The following is a 14,761-nucleotide window of genomic DNA, read 5'->3' as shown; positions in this document are numbered from 1 at the left end:
ACCTCTTTCCTTTATAAATGACCCAGTCTCAGGTCTGTCCTTACAGCAGCGTGAGAACGGACTAATACGCTAGGTAACACTTAAAAGCCATTTGTCCTGAGTTGAGGTTGTTATTATTCATTAATCAGGTTTATTTAGTTCTTGTAATTCTGCCACTGACTAAGGTGTCACTAACTAGCAAGTCATTTTATCACTGAAGGCTTGTTTTCCTTTCTTGTGAAGTGTGTGTGTGTGTGTGTGTGTGTGTTTGTGTATGTGTATGTGTGTGCTTTGGGATATTGAGTGTAGGGGATCAGAATATGTTACCTTAAAGTATGCCACTTTGGCATGAAGATTATTTTGAGCTGAAGAAAACTGAGAAACAGCAGATGCCAAAAATAAGTGAATGAATGACTGAATGAATAAAGCTCTCTGCCTTCCTCCCATTTGCCTATCAGCAGGCTTAGATTCTTCGTTGGCACTGGAGATAACTCTAGACTTATGAGCCCTGGGACAGCACTTAGAAGAATTTACATAACAAAACTTACTGAAATAACCCTTATTTTCCCCATATATTTACCTTCCCACAGCTTGCTGCCCCTAAAAGTCTAAACCCTTTATCCTTCTCTACAAATTTATTGTTCTTTGTGAAGATGCTATACAAGCCCCCAAATTCTATCCCTCCATTTGAATTACTCATCTCTGAGTTTCTCCCACATGTATATGCATTGCACATGTTAACACTCTCTATTTGTTTTCCTCTTGTTTATCTCTCTTTTGTCCATTAAATTTTCAGGTCGCTAATCAGAGAACCTAGGAGTGTAGAGGAAGAGTTTTGTTTTCCTCCCCTATAGGAGCAAGAGAAGTATGAGTACCCGATAGATACAGTGTGAGGTGGACCATTGAGATTATTTAATCCAATAACCCAGGTAGGCATTAGTTCTCCCATTTAGCTGATGTGACTCAGAGAGATGGAGCAACTTATTAAAGTCAACAGCTTAAAGTAGCTAGGCTAAATTTTCAATCTAAGTCTGATTCTTGGTCAAACTCATCTTACTGTACCAAGTTATTTTAGTTTGATTCAGAGATGGCAAAGAAGTTTCTACTCATGTTTCAATTCTAGAGAGGCTGCCTGGGTTCCCAGGAAAGAGTACTGTGAATCAATCACAGATATTTGTAGGTAGCAAAGGATGAGGAAGTGGGTCACATAAGCCATGTGTATGCCTTCACTCATTTAGAAGATCTCTACCAACCTTTCAAATTTTACTGTGCTATGGTGCTTTTGAGTGAGTAAGGGGGTCTCTGGAAGAAGGAAGGAAGGGAACAAAACAGCATTTATGGAGCACACAGGGGACTTCCTACAAGCCGGAGCATCCAAGACAAGAAAGGGGTGGGCAAATGACCCAGAGAATTTCCATAACATTTTATAAATTCTCTCATTACCAATTTTTTTTAGACTAATGATTCCTTTCTATGTAATAGAAATATTGCTTCTATTTCTATGTTTTGGGCAGAACATTCTAGGACTAAGTAGAGTCCCCTTGTTAAAGGACAATAGCCTGTCCCTGGGATTGAAGGCATTATGTTCTCTGGCTTTTGGGAATTAATGTCTCTGTCAAGACAGCCTCTAGTCCTATCCATGCCAAGAATAGCATGGAGTAGAGTGTGGCCAAATGAGTGGGCAGGGCCTGCCACCATAGCATCATCATGACACAAGGAGACAATTGACCAGGCTTGGGTGAGCCGTATCAGTGAGGACTGGCAGTGGGGGTGTTTGGAAACTATGTTTACAGTGTCATTGTCTGTTTTTCTTATTACTTGGGGACAACTTCAGCAATTTCTTTCAGGAAAGAAACTACTTACTGTAAATTTGACTTACTTCGCTCTGCCAATTTTAGTCACTATTTACTTTTACAACATTTTACAGCTGCCAGCATGGGAACTCCATTGTCAGCTGATATCCTCTTGAGGTATTTAGGTTCAAAGAATCCCATTCCCCTGGCTCCCTGCTCTAGATCAGTGGTTCTCAATCCTGACTGTACATTAGCATCCTCTGAGGGGCCATTAAAAATACTGATGGCTGGGCCCCATCCCAAGAGAGTGTGATTTAATTGGTCTAGGAGGGACCCTCACATTGGTATTTTTCAGCAGCTCCCCAGGTGATCCTAATGAGCAGCCAAAATTGGGAATCACCGCTCTGGATGGTTGACTCATCCTACATAACCCATCAACTGGAGTCTCTGTGGCTTCTGGGGCTGTGCAAGTACATTGGTGCCTTTGTGTGAATTAGAAAGCGGTGCCCCTCTTCCTGAGCACATTAGAAAAATGTGCCATTTCTTCTAGATTAACACAGCTACATGGGCACATGGCTTGGCAAGCAGAGTGCACAGTCTTCACCGCCCTGCAGGCCAGTCTTTGTGGATTCCAACCTTAGGTTCCTCTTTGAGTCTTCTGGTTTCCTGGCTCCTAGCCTTAGGCAAATTTTATCTTTTAAAGAAATATAGAAGGGAAACTTCTAGAATGGTGGTAGGACGAGCTTCACTGATCCTCTCCTCAGCTAACCAATATTTTTTTTTTTGAGATGGAGTTTTGCTCTTGTTGCCCAGGCTGGAGTGTGATGGCGTGATCTCGGCTCACCACAACCTCTGCCTCCAGGGTTCAAGTGATTCTCCTGCCTCAGCCTCCAGAGCAGCTGGAATTACAGGCATGCGCCACCATGCCTGGCTAATTTTGTATTTTTAGTAGAGACGGGGTTTCTCCATGTTGGTGAGGCTGGCCTCGAACTCCTGACCTCAGGTGATCTGCCCGCCTCGGCCTCCCAAAGTGCTGGGATTACAGGTGTGAGCTGCCATGCCTGGCCTCAGCTAACCAATTCTAACTGGTAAACATTTTGAAAACACCATTTAAGGCTTCTGGAAATTGTCCTAAGGGCATACACAAATGCGAAAACATATTTAAGAAAATTTACTAAGTCGCTTTGGGAGGCTGAGGTGGGTGGATCACCTGAGGCCAGGAGTTCGAGACCAGCCTGGCCAACAGGGTGCCTGTAAGTCACACCTACAAGGGAGGCTGAGGCAGGAGAATTGCTTGAACCCAGGAGGCAGAGGTTGCAATGAGCCGAGACTGCACCACTGCATTCCAGCATGGAGGACAGAGCGAGACTCCATCTCAAAATAATAATAATAATAATAAAGAAAGAAAATTTACTAAGTCTCTATAAGAATAGTAAGAGTCTGTGACATTTATGCAGAATTCCACCACCTACTTACAACAAACTCCATCTCAGTGTGATGGAAGCTCTGCTGTAGGTGGGAGTGGGCAAGAACAAAGAGCTTCTACTCTCCCAAGCTCCAGTCTAGGGCTACAGTTTCTTCCTGGAGAAGCAAGCTGCTAGAATTTCTTATTCCTCACTCCCCAGCTCCATGTTGCAGAAGCTCTATTATGGGCAGACCAAGAATATTGGGCCCAGTGGTTTTCACTTTAACTCACTTTTATAGTCTTGTTTCCATGCCAGAAGAGAAGACAAAAAAAGATCAGGGCTACCACCTCCTCCCAATGCCCCACACATAAAACAGGGATATCACTCCAACAGAAGCAGGCCTTTCTTCCTTCCCTCAGCTCTAGAGCAGTGAAACAGAGGTTTTTCCCAGGGGGACAGGCAGGCTGTGAGAATAGAGAACTCCATAGGTCTCCCTAAGGGCACTGATTTTATTTGGAACAAAGTGTGGTAAAGTTGAAGTCCAAGGCTGCTATCAAAATCAATGGAGATTTTGGTAGTAAGCAATTATGAGGAGGCTGGTAGCTTCATGATAGCAATAAGCTAAACCACAGAACAGAAAGAATTAGGGAAAGAGATAGCTAACAAAAGCCTTTCCTGGGATTGAAACAAGCCTCAAAGACTGTCTTTGCAAAGGGGTTCAAATTTAATTGGATTAGGCTGTGGAGCAATTTATGGCCCAGAGCATTGCTGAAAACAATAAGGCAATCAGCTGGCAGTTCATGTAGCCAAACAGCTGAGTGAGATACCGATAGAGGCAGACTGTTAGGAAACTAAAAGAGAGATGAAGGAGTGAGACAAACAGAATCCTGCTAAAATCACTCTCATCTTTGGATTACTGTGAGTATACTCAACTTTACCTTCCTTCACTTAATAATTTAAAAACACTTATATCTTCTCTCTTTCTCTCTCTCCCACACCCCCACCTTGATCTGTATTTATGGACCTATAGCATAGAAAGATGTAATTTATTTGACAATAATAGCACAAAGCAGATGGGTACACAAAAGAGCAAAATGATTACTTTAAATTATTTATTTGTCTATTCTTAATTTTTTTTTTTAGAGACAGAGTCTTGCTCTGTCACCCAGGCTGGAGTGTAATGGCACGATCATAGATCACTGCAACCTTGAATTCCTGGGCTCAAGTGATCCTCCTTCCCCAGCCTCCTGAGTAGCTAGGACTACAGATGGGCACCACCATACTCAGCTAAGCAAAGTTGTATTGGTGTAAAATGACACCAGATGGTTACTGAAATCGTGGGAACAAATGAAAAGAAATGGTAAATAAGAAGGTTAATATAATAAACTTTATAAATAAATAGTCTCATTTATTTGCTCAGCTTCTTTAAAAGACATAAGATTATATAACGTTATAATGTAACAATATATTCTTGGGTTTATAACATATATAAATATAATATATATAACAACAGTTGTACAAAAAAGGGGAAGAGGAAATAGCGCTATAAAGAAATAACATTTTTATATGTCACTGAAATTAAGTTAGTATAAATCCGAAGTAGATTCTGAAAACTTAAGATGTATGTGATAAGTCCTAGAGGAAGAACAAAAAATAAAAATAAAAAAGTATTTAAAAAGTCACTAAAAATTTAAAGTGTTACACAAGGCAGTATTTGTTTAACGTAAAGAAAAGGAGTAAAGGAGGAAGAGGAGAATAAAAAGACTCGAGAGAAACCTATAGAAAACAAAAAGTCAAATAGCAGTGTAAATTCAACCATATCAGTAATAACATTCAATCTGAATAAATTAAACAATAGAAACAAGTAGAGATTGGCAAACTGGATATAAAACAAGATCCAACTATATGCTGTGTGCAGAAATCACACTTTAGACACAAAATACAAATATGTTGGAAGTAAAAAAAAGAGAAATATATCTACCATGCAAATAGTAACCACAAGAAAGCTGAAGTAGCAATACTAACATCAGATAAAACATATTTTAAAACAAAAAAATGTTACTAGAGCTATAGATGGGCATTTTATAATGATAAAAGAGTCAGATTATCAGAAAGATACATGTATATATATGTGTGTTTGTGTGTGTGTCTGTCTGTGTGTCCCTAAGAACAGAGTTTAAAGCTATGTCAAGCTAAAACGGACATAATTGAAGGAAGAAATGGATAATTCAACAATAATAGTACCACTATGAAGAAGATCATTAATGACATAAAATAGTTGAACATCAGAAACCAGCTATATTTAATAGGCATCTATAGAGCACTTTACGCAACAACAGCAGAATATACATTTTTCTCAATTGTGCATAGAACATTTTTCAATATACATACCACATGCTAGGCCATAAAAAACTAAAAACAATAAAAAGAAATGAAATCATATGGATTATGTTTTCTGAACACAGAGGAATGGAATTAGAAACTAATAACAGAAAGAAATTTGGGAAATTCACAAATATGTGGAAATTAAACAACACACTCCTAAATAACCAATGAAAATTAGGAACTATTTTGAGATAAATAGAAACACAATCTACCAAAAGTTATGGGATGAAGCTGAAGCAGTGCTTAGAGGAAAATTTATAACTTTAAATACCCATATTACAAAAAAAGAAAGATCTCAAATCAGTAATGTAACTTTTTATCTTAAGGAAGTAGAAAAAGAAGAGCAGACCAAATCCAAAGCTAGCAGAAAGATGGAAAATAAAGACGTAGAGCAGAGATAAATAAATAATTGAAAAATCAGTGAGAGAAGCAATGAAACAAAAAATTGGGTTCCTTGAAATTGTCAACAAAATTAACAAAGCTCTATCTAGACTGAGCAAGAAAAACAGAAGACTCAAATTACTAAATCAGAAAAGAAATAGGAAATATCACTACCAACCTTAAAGAAATAAAATGGATTATAAGGGAATACTACAACCAATTGTATGTTAACAAATTAGATAACTTAGATGAAATGTACATATTCTTAGAATGATACAAACTACCAAAAATAACTTAAGAAAAAATAGACAATCTGACAATATCAAACTATAACAGGTAATGAGGCTAAACAAGTAATTGAAAATATTCCCACAAAGAAAAGCCCAGGACCAGATGGCTTTACTAGTGAATTCTGTTAAACATTTAGAGAAGAATTAATACCAATTCTTTACAAACTTTTTCAAAAAATAGAGGAGGGAAATCTTCCCAACTCATTCTATGAGGCCAATATTACCCTGATACCAAAAACCAGACAAAGACATCACACAGAAAAAAACCTCAAACTGGTATTTTTACTAAATATAGACACAAAAAACCCTCAGCAAGGCTGGGCGAGGTGGCCCACGCCTGTAATCCCAGCACTTTGAGAGGCCGAGGCGGGCGGATCACGAGGTCAGGAGATCGAGACCATCCTGGCTAACACGGTGAAACCCTGTCTCTACTAAAAATACAAAAAAATTAGCCGGGTGCAGTGATGGGCGCCTGCAGTCCCAGGTACTCGGGAGGCTGAGGCAGGAGAATGGTGTGAACCTGGGAGGAGGAGCTTGCAGTGAGCCGAGATCGCGCCACTGCACTCCAGCCTGGGCGACAGAGCGAGACTCCGTCTCAAACAAACAAACAAACAAACAAACCCTTAGCAAAAGATTAGGAAACCAAATATGACCAAGTGGGACTTATCCTACGAAAGGAAGGTCTGTTTAACAACTGAAAATCAGTTAATGTATTATACCGTATCAATAGGATAAAGGACAAAAATACATTATCACTTTGTTTGATGCAGAAGGTTATTGAACAAAATCCAAAACCCTTTCATGATAAAAATACTAAACAAACTAGGAATGGAAGGGAACTTCCTCAGTCTCATAAAGAATATTCATAAAAAGCTTAGAAGTAACATTATATTTAACGGTGAAAGACTGTATGCTTTCCCACTAAGATCTGGAAAAAGACAAGGACGTCCACTCTTGCCGTTCTATTAAAGGTTGTAGTGGAGAGATTCTAGCCTGGGCAACTAGACAATAAAAATAAACAAAATCACCCAGATTGGAAAGGAAGAAGTAAAACCATCTCTACTTGCAAATGACATAATCTCATATATAGAAAATCCTAAGGAATCCTCTAGAAAATTAGAACTAACAAATGAGTTCAGCAAACTTTTAGTATATATTCGGTTGGTGCAAACGTAATTGGAGTTTTTGCAATTACGTTTGCACCAACTGAATAATATCAATATAAAAAATTGTATTTCTATATACTAGTATTAAACAATCCAAAAATGAAATTAAGAAAACAATTTTATTTACAATACCACAAAAGAATAAAATATGCAGATGTAAAAGTAAAAAATATGTGTTTTAAATCTATAAAACATTGTTGAAAAATTAAAGAAGATCTAAGTAGAAGGACATCTTATGTTCATGTATTGGAAGACAGTATTGTTTAAATGGCAATACTTGCTAAATTCATCTAGAGATTCAACACAATCCTTGTCAAAATCTCAGCTGCCTTTTTTTGTGCAGAAATTGACAAACTATTCCTAAAATTTATATGGAAATTCAAGGGATCTGAAATTGCCAAAACAATATTGTAAAAGAAGACCAAAGTTGGAGGACTCACACTTCCTGTTTTCCAAACTAACTACAATGCTACAGTAATCAAGACAGTGTGATAAGGAAAAACATATAGATCAGCAGAATAAAACTGAGCATCCAAAAATAAATGACCACATTTAATGTTAATTGATTTTTGAAAAAGTTGCCAAGGATGATCTTTTCCACAAATGATGCTAGGAGAACTTAACGCAAAATAATGAATTTAGATAGTTTCCTTGCACCGTATACAAAAACTAACCCTAAATGGAGCAAAAATCTAAATGTAAAAGCTAAACTATAAAATTGTTGGAAGAAAACATAGGAGTAAATCATCGTGACCTCATATTAAGTGAAGCCATCTTAGACATGACACCCAAAACACAAGTGACCAAAAAAAATTAGATAAATTGAATTTCATTATAATAAAAAATCTTTTGCATTTCAAAAGACATCATCAATAGAGTGAAAAGAAAACTACAGAATGAGAGAAAATATTTAAAAATCATATATCTTATAAGGGCCATGTATCCAGAAGGTATAAAATAGTCTTACAATTTAAGAATTAAAGACAAATAGTCCACTGTAGAAACAGGTAAAGAGGACAGATGTGGAGGCTTGTGCCTGTAATCCCAAGACTTTGGGAGGCCGAGGTGGGAGGATTTCTTGAAGCCAGGAGTTTGATTCCAGCCTGGGCTACAAAGTGAGCTCCACCTGTACAAAAACAAATTAAAAAAAAAAAAAGCTAAGCATGCTGGAGCATGTCTGTAGTCCCAGCTACTGGGGAGGCTGAGGTGGGAGGATAGCTCAAGCCCAGGAGTTTGAGGCTGCAGTGAGCTATGATTGTGTCACTACACTCCAGCCTGGGAGACAGAGAGAGACCCTGTCGTTAAAAAAAAAAAAAAAAAAAGGCAAAGAGTCTGAGTAAATATTTCTCCAAAGAAGATATACAGATGACCAATTTTCATATGAAAAAATGTCCATCATCATTAACCATTAGGGAAATGCAAATCAAAACTGCAATGAGATATTCCTTCATAGCCACTAGTATAATTATAATAAAAATACATATAATAACAAATATTGGTGGGGATGTGGAGAAATTGGAACCCATATACACTTCTGGTTGTAATGTAAAATGGTGCAGTTTGAAAATATTTTGGCAGTTCCTGAAAATGTTAAACATGGAGTTATCATAACCCAGCAATTCCACCCCTAGGTATATTCCCATGAAAAACAAAACACACATTCACACAATATCTTGTACTTAAATATTCATAGCAGCATTATTCACAATAGCCAAAAAGAGAAGACAACTCAAATGTCTATAAGTGATGAATGAATAAGCAAAATGTAGTATTTCAATACAATAGAATATTATTCAGCTATACAAATAAATTGTGGCATAATACCATAGGATATTATTCAGCAATAAAAAGGAATGAAGTACTGATGCATGCTACAATATGGATGAATCTTGAAAACATTTTGCTAAGTGAAAGAAGCCATTCCCCAAACACCAAGTATTGTGGGATTCCATTTATTTTAGATGTCCAGAAAAGACAAATCTATAGAGAAAAAATGGATTAGTTGTTGCCTAGGCGTGGGTGTTTGGAGAGAAATGAAGAGTGACTACTAAGAGATACATAGTTTCTTTTTGGGTAATAAAAATCTTCTATATTGAGATTGTGGTGATGGTTACACGACACTGTGAATATACTAATAACCATTGAATTTTATATTTCAAATGTGTGAGTTTAATGGCATATATATTATACCTCAGAGCTGTTAAAAATAATTATAGTTATATGTGATTGGTTTACCATATTGTCCTTCAATCTGCTATGGTTTGCATGTGTCCCCCAAGAGTTCACATGTTGGAAACTGGGTTGTCATTGTGGTGGTGTTGAGAACTGAGGCCCTTGGGAGGCAATTGAGTCATGAGGGCATGCATCATTTGTCCTTCTGCTTTTCTGCCATGAGATAGTGCAGCAGTAAGGCCCTCACAGGTGCTGGCCCACTGACCTTGGACTTCCTGGCCTCCACAACCATGAGCTGAATAAACCTCTATTTCTTACAATTTACCCAGTCTGTAGTATTCAGTTACAGCAACATAACTAAGACACATACATATACAGTCATGTGCCACAAAATGTTCTCGTCAATGACAGACCGCATATATGATGGTGGTCCCATAAAACTATAATATCATATTTTTACTATACCTTTTCTATGTTCAGATATATAAATACTTACTATTTTGTTACAATTGCCTGCAGTATTCAGTACAGTAATGCTGTACAGGTTTGCAGCCTATTGCTCCTAAACATGTATATATGTTGCTTATATAATCACTGTAAAAAATTATATTACAATATCATTTATGTAAATGTAAGGACCATTTCTACACATAAAGTATATATTTTACAGGAATACATGCATATTAGGAAGTGAGTCAAAGATATAAAATGGGTGTCCAGGTGAGTGAAAGGAAAGGATATGAGGCAGGTTGAAGATAAGGAGATAGGTGTTGGGGGGTGGAGAAGAGACAGAGACAGGGATAAGGGATAGCCTAGCTGTGTAGTAGGGTATACCATCTAGGTCTGTATAAGTACACTCTATGATGTTTACACAATAATGAAATTGGCTTATAACACATTTCCTGGAATGTATTCCCCTCATTAAATGATGGATGACTGTATGCGTAATATACATATAACATTAATATTATATATAATAGACACTAATATATATATTGTACATGAACATGCCTATAATATATTTATATGTATTGGATGTTAAAGATTATTTTTAACAATACACCTTTACTACAGTTAAATTAGGAAATATACACAAGAATCATCCATACTTCCAAGCATTAGGGAAAACCAGTTAATATTCTGATATTTATGCTTCCAGATATTCTTCTTTGCAAATATACATAACATATTGAGAAGAAGTAGTATCATGCTACCCAGGCTGTTTTGTTTTCTTTGTACTTTAGGCACAGAAAATGGTGATCGTTCTCTTCTGTACATGCAAGGCCTTTCTTTTGCTCCATCTGTTTCTGTCTCTTCTCCACCCCCCAACACCTATCTCCTTATCTTCAACCTGCCTCATATCCTTTCCTTTCACTCACCTGGACACCCATTTTATATCTTTGATTCACTTCCTAATATGCGTGTATTCCTGTAAAATATATACTTTATGTGTAGAAATGGTCCTTACATTTATGTAAATGATATTGTAATATAATTTTTTACAGTGATTATATAAGCAACATATATACATGTTTAGTTATAAGATATTAACTAAATTTCTGTGGCAAATATGCTTTATTGTGGTTAAAAAGCACATAACACATACCATTTTCATCATTTTAAGTGTACAGTTCAGTAGTATTAAGCATAATTCACATCATTGTGAAACAGATCTGCAGAATTCTTTGGCTTGCAACTCTGCAACTCTACACCCATTAAAGAATAACTACCCTTTCTTCTCTCTCCCTAGTTCCTGGTAACCAACATCCTACTTTTTGTTTCTTTGAATGTAACTACTTTAGATACCTCATATAATAGGTGGGATCATACAGTATTTATCCTTTTTATAACTGGCTTATTTCACTTAACATAATGTCCTCAAGGTTCATTCATGTTGTATCGTGGGATAGGATTTTCTTCCTTTTTAAGACTGGATAGTATTCCATGGTATGTATATCCCACATTTTATTTACCTAGTCATTCATCAGTGGCCGTTTGGGTTGCTTCCATCTCTTGCCTATTATAAATAGTGCTGCTATGAACACAGGCATACAAATATCTTTTTGAGACTGGCTTTCAATTCTTTTGCTTATATTCCCTGACATGAAATTACTGGATCAGATAGTGGTTCTATGTTTAATTTTTTGAGGAACTTCCATATTGTTTTCTGTAGCAGCAGTTGTGTCATTTTACAATCTCACTGATAGCACAAAAGGGTTCCAATTTCTCCATATGCTTGCAAACCATTGTTCTTTTCTTTTTTTTTAATAGCACTCATCCTATTGGGTGTTAGGTAATAACTTATTCTGGTTTTGATTTGCATTTCTCTGATGATTAGTGCTGTTGAGGATTTTTTAAAATATATTTTTGGCCATTTGTGTATCATTTTTAGAAAAATATCCATTCAAACATTTTGTCTATTTTTTTCTTTTTTGAGACAGAATCTCACTCTTGTCACCCAGGCTGTAGTGCAGTGGCGTGATCTTGGCTCACCGCAACCTCTGTCTCCTGGGTTCAAGCGATTCTCCTGCCTCAGCCTCCTGAGTAGCTGGGATTACAGGTGCCTGGCACCATGCCCGGCTAATTTTTGTACTTTTAGTAGAGATGAGGTTTTGCCATGTTGGCCAGGCTGGTCTCGAACTCTTGACCTCAGGTGATCCACCTGCCTTGGCCTCCCAAAGTGTTAGGATTACAGGCGTGAGCCACTGCACCCAGCCTTGTCTATTTTTTAATTAAAAATTTTTTTGCTGTTGTTGAGTTGCAGCATTTCTTTATATATACCCTGGATATTAACCCCTTCTCAGATATATGATTTGCAAATATTTTCTCCCATTCTATAGGCTGTCTTTTCACTCTGTTGACTGTATCCTTTGTTCCTTCATGCGCAGAAGTTTTTAAGTTGGATGCAGTCCTATTTGTCTAGTTTTGCTTGCGTTGCCTGTACTTTCGGTGTCATATCCAAGAAATCATTGCCAAGTCCAATGTCAGGAAGCTTTTCTCCTGTGTTTTCTTATAGGAGTTTTACAGTTTTAGTATTACATTTAAGTATTTAATTATTTTTGAGTGAATTTTTTTGCAAGGTGCAAGATAAGGGTTCAACTTTATTCTGTTGCAGTGCAAAAGAACACCGTTTGTTGAAGCAACTGTCCTTCCTCTACTGAGTGGTCACGGTGCTCTTGTTGAAGTGTGATAGAATCTTACTCAGTTTCCTCACTGTAACACATGGATAACGATAATACAGTAGCTTCCTATATTAGTTTCCCATTGCTGTCTATCTTAGTCCTTCTATGGCAAAATATCATAGATTGCATGGCTTAAACAATAGAAATTTCTTTTCTTAAAGTTCTGCAGGCTAGAGAGTCCAAGTACGAGATCTGGCTGAGTTGATTTCTGGTGAAGGCCTACTCCTGGTCTTGCAGATGACCACCTTCTTGCTGTGTTCTCATATGGCACAGAGAGAGAAAAAGAGAGAGTGAGAGAGAGAGAGAGAAGGAGGGAGAGCGTGCAAGACAGAGGGCACTTGTGAACGAGTGCTAGCCATCTGGTGTTTCTTCTTATAAAGACACTAATTCTTGGCCAGGTGAGGTGGCTCACACCTGTAATCCCAGCACTTTGGGAGGCTGAGGTGGGCGGATCACGAGGTCAGGAGTTCGAGACCATCCTGACCAACATGGTGAAGCCCCTTCTCTACTAAAAATACAAAAATTAGCCAGGTGTGGTGGGGTGGTGTGTGCTTGCAATCCCAGCTACTCAGGAGGCTGAGGCAGGAGAATAGCTTGAACCCAGGAGGCAGAGGTTGCAGTGAGCCGAGATCATGCCACTGCACTCCAGCCTGGGTGACAGAACAAGACTCTGTCTCAAAAAAAAAAAAAAAAAAAAAAAAGACACGAATTCTTTTATATCAGAGGTCCACCCTTTTGATCTCATTTGACCTTAAGTAATTAATTAACCTTAATTACTTCCTTCCTCCAAATACAGCTACACCTTAACATATGAATTTTTGAGGGGGACACATACATTCCATGCATAACAACACCTAACAAATTATTAAAACTTTGCAGCTTACAATACAGTCATTTATTATCTCATAGTTTTTTTTCTTTTTATTAAGATGGGGTCTCACTCTGTCACCCAGGCTGGAGTGCAGTGGCATGATCTTGGCTCACTGTAGCTTCTGCCTCCCAGGCTCAAACAAGTCTCCCACCTCAGCCTCCCAAGTATCTGGGACTACAGGCGCATGCTACCACACCTGGCTAATATCTCAGTTTTTGTAGTAAGAAGTACAGGCAGGCTTGTCTGGATTCTCTGTTCATGGCCTGACAAGGCTGAAGTCACAGTGTTGTCCAGGTTCTCATCTAGAGGTTCTGGGGAAGAATTTACTTCCAAGTGCATTCAGGTTGTTGGGTGAATTCAGATCCTTGTGGTTGTAGGACTGTAGGACCAAAGACCTCACTTTCTTTCTGGCTGTTGCTTGAGAGCTTTCCTCAGCTCCTAAAGAGGCTTGGCATGTGATCCCCTCTGTATTCAAAGCCAGCAGTCACTCTTGTACTTCAAATCTCTTACTTCCTCTTCCGCTACCAGGCAGAGAAAACCCTTTGCTTTTAAAGGTCTCGTGTAATTAGATAAGACCCACCCTGATAACATCCCTTTTGCTGCATAAGGTAACATAATCAAGGGAATAATGGCTTCTCATATTCACAGATTTCCACTACCCCTCAAAAGGAAGGTGTCAAGGCTGCAAGTCAGTTGAGTTCATTCTTAGAATTCTGCCTACAACACTCGCACAGAAGAAATTCCACTTGTGATGACAGCTTCAGCCCATGCCCATGGAGTTCCATCTTGCCTGTCGTCTTCCCTTCCTGCCTCCCAGTTGGTGAGAACTTTGTCCTGTGCCCACGATCTTCACTTCCTCACTGTTTTTGGTCTTGGACATCAGATCCTAAATTTGTGTAAGTCAATTTCTTGTAAAAAATCTCTTAATATATAGGTATATAAGATATATATAATCTATAGGTATATATTAAGATATATAATATATAAAGTTCTGCATGTTTGGAGGACAAGAAGAATGGCATAAAGAGGTGGATATAAAGGGGTGTTCACAGTTTAGACATTTCTATATTGCTTAACATTTTTATGGGAGTGTATTCATGTAGTTGTGTAATTAAATACATATGTGAATATTTATA

The sequence above is a fragment of the Homo sapiens genome, chromosome 18 (genome assembly GCF_000001405.40).
Source record: "Homo sapiens chromosome 18, GRCh38.p14 Primary Assembly".
Taxonomy (NCBI): Eukaryota; Metazoa; Chordata; class Mammalia; order Primates; family Hominidae; genus Homo; species Homo sapiens.
Note: the sequence above shows the minus strand (reverse complement) of the source record.